General features: G+C 47.9%; 2 annotated features.

Annotated features, from left to right (window-relative positions):
* Positions 3,132–3,332: a silencer, noted in NCBI's record as "peak2550 fragment used in MPRA reporter construct". NCBI's record gives its function as "represses an SCP1 promoter by STARR-seq MPRAs in K562 erythroleukemia cells {active_cell/tissue: K562}" and the evidence as "EXISTENCE:reporter gene assay evidence [ECO:0000049][PMID:32103011]".
* Positions 5,094–5,593: an enhancer, noted in NCBI's record as "H3K4me1 hESC enhancer chr16:28341775-28342274 (GRCh37/hg19 assembly coordinates)". NCBI's record gives its function as "activates a minimal SCP1, AML or CMV promoter by ChIP-STARR-seq in naive H9 embryonic stem cells {active_cell/tissue: H9 hESC(naive)}" and the evidence as "EXISTENCE:reporter gene assay evidence [ECO:0000049][PMID:30033119]".

The raw sequence follows: 8,693 nt of genomic DNA, 5'->3' as shown, positions 1-8,693 counted from the left end.
GACCAGGAGTTCGAGACTAGCCTAGCCAACGTGCTAAAACTCCGTCTCTACTAGAAATACAGAATTAGCCAGGCGTGGTGGCGGGTGCCTGTAATCCCAGCTACTCAGGAGGCTGAGGCAGGAGAACTGCTTGAACCCAGAAGTGGAGGTTGCAGTGAGCTGAGATTGCGTCACTGCACTCCAGCCTGGGTGACAGAGCAGAATCCGTCTCAAAATAAATAAATAAATAATCCCCTGGGGATCTTGGATTTGATCTTGGTGCCAAGGGAATTGGATTTCCTTGGTCTGGGTAGTGCCTTGGCATCTGTATTACGATTATCATTTGCCAATGATTATGAATTTTTAAATTTCACACAGCTTTGGGGAAGCATAGAATCTGGACTTGTTCAGAACAATCAGCTATTGACACCAGAGGCTGCCTCTGGGTTATAATTGGATAATTATCCCTTCCTGGTGCAGACATTAGTGGCTCTCTTGTGCTTGGCCATGAACCATTTGCTGTGTCCTCCATGTGGCCAAGCATCAAAAGGATAATGTTTTCATTTTTTAATTTTTGTGGGTAGATAGTAGGCATATATATGTATGGGGTGCATGAGGTGTTTTAATACAGGCATGCAATGCATAATAATCACATCAGGGTAAATGGGGATCCATTACATCAAGCATTTATCCTTTGTGTTACAAACAATTCAATTACACTCTTTGAGTTATTTAAAAATGTACAATTGGCTGGGCACAGTGGCTCTCACCTGTCATCCCAGCACTTTGGGAAGCTGAGGCGAGCGAATCACTTGAGGTCAGGAGTTTGAGACCAGTCTGGCCAACATGGTGAAACCCCGTCTCTACTAAAAATACAAAAATTAGCTGGGCGTGGTGGCACTTATCTGTAATCTCAGCTACTTGGGAGGCTGGGGCAGGAGAATCACTTGAGCCCAGGAGTTCGAGACTAGCCTGGGCAACTTAGCAAGACCCCATCTCAAAAACAAAGCTACAGCTTAAAAGAAAATCAGACCATGTCACTCTCTGCTTAAGGCCTTCAAGGGTTTCCTCATGCATTCAGGATAGAATCCGAAGTCCTTAGAATGACCCAGAGGGACTGACACAGTTGGGCCTGGCCTCATCCCATGGCAGTCTCCTGCTCGTTCAACTAGGCTGTGATGCACTAGTCCCTCCCCCACGTGCTCCCCAGATTTATTTCATTTTATTTTATATTTTTTTGAGACAGGGTCTTGCTCTGCTGCCCAGCCCGGAGTGCAGTGGTGTGATCATAGCTCACTGCAGCCTCGAACTGCTGGGCTCAAGCTATGCTCCCACCTCAGCCCCTCAAAATATGATGAGTACAAGCATGAGCTACTGCACCCAGCCCCTAGCTTTAAATATTTAAAGCATCTAAACATAGAAGAGTTGAAAAAGTGGTATAATTGTCACTCATACACCTATCCTGAAATTCAATAATTACCATTTTGTCATATTTTCTTTGTCTGTGTGCATGTGTGTATTTTGCTGAAATGTTAATTAATTTATTTATTTGAGATGGAGTCTCGCTCTAATGCTCAGGCTGGAGTGCAGTGGCATGATCTTGGCCCACTGCAACCTCCGCCTCCTGGGTTCAAGTGATCCTCCTGCCTCAGCCTCTTGAGTAGCTGGAATTATAGGCACCTGCCACCATGCCCAGCTAATTTTTTGTATTTTTTGTAGAGACGAGGTTTCATCATGTTGGCGAGGCTGGTCTTGAACTCCTGACCTCAAGTGATCCGCCTGCCTCGGCCTCCCAAAGTGCTTGGATTTCAGGCGTGAGCCACTGCGCCTGGCCAACATTTAAAAGTTAGTTGTAAGCCAGGCATGGTGGTGTGGGCCTGTAGTCCCAGCTATTGGAGAGGCTGAGGCAGGAGGATCGCTTGATCTCAGGAGTTTGAGGCTGCAGTGAGCTACGATCATGCCACTGCACTCCAGCCTGGGTGACAGAGCAAGACCCTGTCTCTAAAATAATAATAATAATAAATAAATGAAATAAAAGTTAGCTGTAGATGTCATGTCAGTTGACCCCTATAATGACTTCAATGTGAATCTCCTAAAAATAAAGACATCTTCCCTTATAGCCAGCCACATGTCACCACCCTACCCAAGAAAATCAATAGAAATTTTCTAATATTGAGTCCACGTTCAAATGAACCCAATTATTCCCTGAATGCATTTTAAAGATGTTTAATTTCCAAATCAGGACCCAATCAGGTTTGCACATTGTGGTTGGCTCCAGTGTCTCTTTGGAGTCTCCTAGTCTGGAACTGGCACTTCACAGTGTGGTTTGGGACCAGCGGCATGAGCATCACCTGGGAATTTGCTAGAAATGCAACTTCACAGGCCTCACTCCCAACCTGAATCAAATTCTGGGGTGGGGTCCAGGAATCTGTTTTAACAAGCCAGGTGATTTTTTTTTTTTTCGAGACAGGGTCTCGCTCTGTCACCCAGGCTGGAGTGCAGTGGCATGATCTCAGCTCACTGCATCCTCCGCTTCCCAGGTTCAGGTGATTCTCCTGCCTCAGCCTCCCGAGTAGCTGGGACTACAGGTGCCTGCCACCACGCCCAGCTAATTTTTGTATTTTTAGTAGGGATGGGGTTTTGCTATGTTGGTCAGTCTGGTCTGGAACTTCTGACCTCAAGCAATCTGTCCACCTCAACCTCCCAAAGTGTTGGGATTATAGGCATGAGCCACTGTACCTGGCCTCAGCTAGTTATCTTCATGGCTGTCTCTTCCTTTTATTTTATTTAATAATAATAATATTATTATTTTTGTGGAGATAGGGTCCCACTATGTTGCCTAGGCTGCCCTTGAACTCATGGCCTCAAGTGATTCTCTTGTCTTGCCTCCCAAGGCCCTAGAATTACTGATGTGAGCCACTGTGCCTGGGCTTTCTTAGTTCTGTGCTCATTAGTTCTTCTCTCTTTCTCTCCCTCCGTCTCTCTATTTTCCCCCTTTCCCTCTCTTCTGTTCCCTCTCTCCTCTGCAAAGAAACTGATTCCTCCCTTCCTGGGCATGTATTTCCCAGCCTTCATTGCTGTTAGATGTGCTCATGTGACTGGTTCTTGCTGATGGAAGGTGGGTGGAAATGACGCGGTCCCCTGTCTGGGGCTGAGATGGTTAAGATCATGGATCTGTCTTCTCCTGTCTGCATTGTTTGCTATCTACCAGCCGAGAGACAGCAGAACCACAAGGTAGCAGTCCCTGAATCTCCATGTGGCACATCTGCCTTAGACTGTTATCTGAGCAGGTAATAAACTTCTGTGATGTTAAGCCACAGAGATTTCGGGGCTTATCTGTTCCAGCAGCCAGCATTACCGTAAGTAACAAACACATGGACTCTCTCTGCTTCTCTAGGCTTTCAACTAAACACAGCTGCCCCACGACTCCTAAGTTCTTATATTTTTAATTATAGAGGATATCGATTGGCTTCTCATCCAATTGTAACCCTCCAGGAGAGGCTGTAATGGGCCCAGCTTGGGACTCCTTGGAACCACTCCTAAAATGATCAGCTATGGCTGGTGGGGACAGTACTATGATTTGGAGATGACAGGAGGGCCCTCCACCCTTCCCTGCCAGTGAAAGGTAGGGCCATTCTTTTTTTTTGTTTAATTATTATTATTTTTAATAGAGCTGAAATCTCATTATGTTGCCCAGGCTGGTCTTGAACTCCCCAGCTCAAGAGGCAGGGCCGGGCGTGGTGGCTCATGCCTGTAATCCCAGCACTTTGGGAGGCAAGGCAGGTGAGGAGGATCACCTGAAGTCAGGAGTTCAAGACCAGCCTGGCCAACATGGCGAAACCCTTTCTCTACTAAAAATGCAAAAATTAGCTGGGTGTGGTGGCAGGCGCCTGTAATCCCAGCTACTTGGGAGGCTGAGGCAGGAGAATCTCTTGAACCCAGGAAGTGGAGGTTGCAGAGAGCTGAGATTGCACCATTGCACTCCAGCCTGGGCGACAGAGTGAGACTCCATCTCAAAAAAGAAAAAAGAGGCATCAGGTCATCCTGCCTGTGACAGGAGGGCACTGCAAAATTACATGGCTAAGGGCATGGGTAGGGGGAAGGGTGAAGAGTTAGGGCCAAATAATGTACACCTTACCTAATTTCCCACTGGAGAACACCCCCTTTCAGTCAATTACTTTGGGTGGGGCTCCAGCTCAGGGGTGGAGCAGGTGACAAAGACCTCAGCCAATCAGAGAACAACTTTGCCCATTTGGGACTACAGGCATGCACCATCATGCCTGCTAATTTAAAATATTTTTTGTAGAGGCCAGGCACCAGTGGCTCACGCCTGTAATCCTGGCACTTTGGGAAGCCGAGGCAGGCGGATCACGAGGTCAAGAAATCGAGACCATCCTGGCCAACATTGTGAAACCCTGTCTCTACTAAAAATACAAAAATTGGCTGGCCCTGGTGGTGCACGCCTGTAGTCCAGCTACTCAGGAGGCTGAGGCAGGAGAATCGCTTGAGCCCGGGAGGCGGAGATTGCAGTGAGCCAAGATTGCACCACTGCACTCCAGCCTGGGCGACAGTGCGAGACTCTGTCTCGAAAAAAAAGAATTTTTTTTTTTTTTTGGAGAGGCAGGGTTTTCCTATGTTGCCCAGGTTGGTCTTGAACTCCTGGGCTCAAGCGATCTGTCCACCTCAGCCTCCCAAAGTGCTGGAACTACAGGCATGAGCCACTGTGCCTGGTTGACTTTTCCTTTCCAAATGAACAAGTTTGGGTTGAGTTTTCAGTCACTGAGACCAAACTGGTCCCAATGAGTACACCAGTAATCTTAGCCTCAGAGGTGTGCATCTACTCACAGAAGGGCTCAGTGGCTTCCAGTGTTCAAGGCTACTGGATTGCACAAGAGCTGTTATAGGACAAGCCCCGTGGATACTGGTGGCTCAGAGGTCTTACAGATGAGGTTTCACTGGGAACCAATCAGAACTCCCTTATTTGCAAGTAACAGACACCAAACTCAAATGGACTTGTGAGAATATGTTGGCTCATGTAATTGAAAAAGCCACTTGTGGCTGGGCGCAGTGGTTCACACCTGTAATCCCAGCACTTTGGGAGGCCAAGGTGGGGCAGATCACGTGAGGTCAGGAGTGCAAGACCAGCCTGGCCAACATGGTGAAACCCTGTCTTTACTAAAAATACAAAAATTAGTCGGGTGTGTTGGTGCACGCCTGTAATCCCAGCTACACGGGAGGCTGAGGCAGTAGAATCACTTGAACCCGGGAGGCAGAGGTTGTAGTGAGCTGAGATCGTGCCATTGCACTCCAGCCTGGGTGACAGAGTGTGCTCCGTTTCGAAAAAGAAAGAAAAGAAAAGAAAAGAAAAGAAAAGAAAAGAAAAGAAAAGAAAAAGCCATTTGGATTTCAGACACAGATCCTAGTACTCATATAACGCAATCAGAATCCATCTCTCCTCATCTCCTGGCCCTGCTTCATTTACTCTGTGCCGGCTTCATGCCTGGCCAGAATCTCCCTAAGCGGTGGCAAAGGCAGCCACCAGCATGTCCAGGCTTACATCCCACATGCTTAGCAACTCCAGTGAAAAGAGAACACATTTTCCCCTAATAGGTACACAAGGCCAGGAGCAGCCTAGCTTGGGCTAGGGGCACACAGCTGCCGCTGGGGGATGGAATGTGCTGATTGGCTAGACCTGGGTCATGTGGCCACCCCACAGAGCGAAGGGGTGGGGTCGGCCTCCGCTGAAGGAAGGACTGGGTCAAAGGAAGCTTGGGGTGCTATCACACAAAGCAGAACGAGTGGATGCTGAACAGGCAAAAATAGCAGACGTCCGCTACATCTCATTACTCTTAGCATCTTGTGGTCCTTATTACAATTGTAATGAACTATCACTCCAAATCCTCTACCTTCTACAATCACCTCCCATTTTCCTTTTTTTAAAAAAAGTATCATTATTATTTTTTGTCTCTGTCAAAAAAAAAATAATTGTTATTATATTGTCGCCCAGGCTGGAGTGCAGTGGCGCGATCTTGGCTCACTACAACCTCCGCCTCCCGGGTTCAAGCGATTTTCCTGTCTCAGCCTCCTGAGTAGCTGGGATTACAGGCAGCCACCACTGTGCCCGGCTAATGTTTGTAGTTTTAGTACATGTTAGCCAGGCTGGTCTCAAACCCCTGACCTCAAGTGATCCACCCAGCTCGGCCTCCCAAAGTGCTGGGATGACAGGCATGAGCCAACGTGTTCAGCTAATTTTTGTATTTTTAGCAGAGATGGGGTTTTGACATGTTGGCCAGGCTGGTCTTGAATTCCTGACCTCAGGTGATCCGCCCCCCTGGGCCTCCCAAAGTGCTAGGATTACAGGTGTGAGCCACGGTGCCCGGCCCCATTTTCCTTTAACATCAACATTGAATGACTTGAGCCCACATACTAAGAAAAATCAAGGCTTGGCGTGGTGGCTCATGCCTGTAATCCCAGCACTCTACAAGGCTGTAGTGGGAGGATGGCTTGAGGCCAGGAGTTTGAGACTAGTCTGGGCAACATAGCAAGACCCTGTCCCTACAAAATAGAAATGAAGACATTAGCCAGGCCTGGTGGTGTGTGCCTGTAGTCCCAGCTGTCTGAAAGGCTGAGGCAGGAGTGTCAGAGGCATTTGAACCTGAGCGACTCTATCTTGAATAGGGGCTGGGTAAAATAAGGCTAAGACCTGCTTGGCTGCATTCCCAGGAGGTTAAGGCATTCTAAGTCACAGGATGAGACAGGAGGTTGGCACAAGATACAGGTCATAAAGACCTTGCTGATAGAACAGTTTGTAGGCCAGGCATGGTGGCTCACCCCTGTAATCCAAGCACTTTGGGAGGCTGAGGCGGGCAGATCACCTGAGGTCAGGAGTTCGAGACCAGCCTGACAAACATGGAGAAACCCGTCTCTACTACAAAAATATAAAATTAGCCGGGCATGGTGGCACATGCCTGTAATTCCAGCTACTCAAGAGGCTGAGGCAGGAGAATCGCTTGAACCCAAGAGGTGGAGGTTGCGGTGAGCTGAGATTGCGCCATTGCACTCCAACCTGGGCAACAAGAGTGAAACTCTGTCTCAAAGAAAAAAAAACAAAGGGCCAGGTGCGGTGGTTCATGCCTGTAATCCCAGCACTTTGAGAGGCCGAGGCAGGTGGATCACGAGGTCAGGAGTTCAAGACCGGCCTGGCCAATATGGTGAAACCCCGTCTCTACTAAAAATACAAAAATTAGCTGGGTGTGGTGACGTGCACCTGTAGTCCCAGATACTCGGGAGGCTGAGGCAGAAGAATTGCTTGAATGTGGGAGTTGGAGGTTGCAGTGAGCCAAGATCATGCCACTGCACTCCAGCCTGGATGACAGAGTGAGACTCCATCTCAAAAAATAATAATAAAAATAAAAAATAAATAAATTAATAAATTAACAATAAAAAATGTTCAAAAAGGAAAACCAGGCCCCCTCCACAATGTCTCTGAGGCATCCCAAGATGGGGCTCCCCATCTCCTGAGTCCACCATGCTCAGCCCACTTCCTGGCTGTCCTTCTCTGCTCTTGGCCTCTGGAGCCATTGTCCCCTTTCTTCGCCTCCAAATCAAAACCTCTGTTTTTGTCCATTGCACCAAATCTCCACTAACCCAAGGCTGGGTGAGGAACAGTCTCCTCCCCTCAGCTGCCAGTAATTACCTCTAAATTACTTTTCTTACACCCACATTTCCACCCTAAACCAGACACTAGATGGGTGTATAGATGTTGACATTTCAGAGAGAGAGATGCTGTTTGGTGACTCTCGCATGGTGACGTGACCGTAAGTTGAGTAGTCATCTATGGCTCTGTGTGAAGGGTGTCATGGGGTCTGCGATCACTCCTTCCACTAGCCCTTGCTTTGGCCCGCTTAGCTGTGACTGCTGAGGAGTTGGGAAAATTTGCATAGGCCTCAAGGAGTGTCTTGGGAAAAAAGGAATCAAGGCTACAACTCTCTTTCCTTCTGAAGTTTAATTTATTTTATTATATTATTTTATTTTATTTATTTTAATTTTTTGAGATGGAGCTTTGCTCTATCACCCAGGCTGGAATGCAATGGTGTGATCTCGGCTCACTGCAACCTCCACCTCCTGGGTTCAAGTGATTCTCCTGCTTCAGCCTCCCCAGTAGCTGGGATTACAGGTGCCTGCCACTATGCCCTGCTAATTTTGTAGTTTTAGTAGAGATGGGGTTTCACCATGTTGGCCAGGCTGGTCTCAAACTCCTGACCTCAAGTGATCTACCCCCCTCAGCTTCCTGAAGTGCTGGGATTATGGGTGTGAGCCACTGCACCCGGACTTGAAGTTTAATGTTTTTTTTTATTTTTTATTTTTTATTTTTGAGACGGAGTTTCACTCTTGTTGCCCAGGCTGGAGTGCAATGGTGCAATCTCAGCTCACCACGATCTCTGCCTCCCAGGTTCAAGGGATTCTCTTGTCCCAGCCTCCGGAGTAGCTGGGATTACAGGCATGCACCACCATGCTGGGCTAATTTTGTATTTTTATTAGAGATGAGATTTCACCATGTTGGCCAGGCTGCTCTTGAACTCCTGACCTCAAGTGATCTGCCCGCCTCGGCCTCCTGAAGTGCTGGGATGACAGGCATGAGCCACCGCACCTGGCCGGAAGTTTAATGTTATTGGAACCTTTTTGATAGACTGATTAGTCTGGATGGAAGACTA

The sequence above is a fragment of the Homo sapiens genome, chromosome 16 (genome assembly GCF_000001405.40).
Source record: "Homo sapiens chromosome 16, GRCh38.p14 Primary Assembly".
NCBI lineage: Eukaryota > Metazoa > Chordata > Mammalia > Primates > Hominidae > Homo > Homo sapiens.
This window is presented reverse-complemented; position numbering and strand designations above follow the sequence as displayed.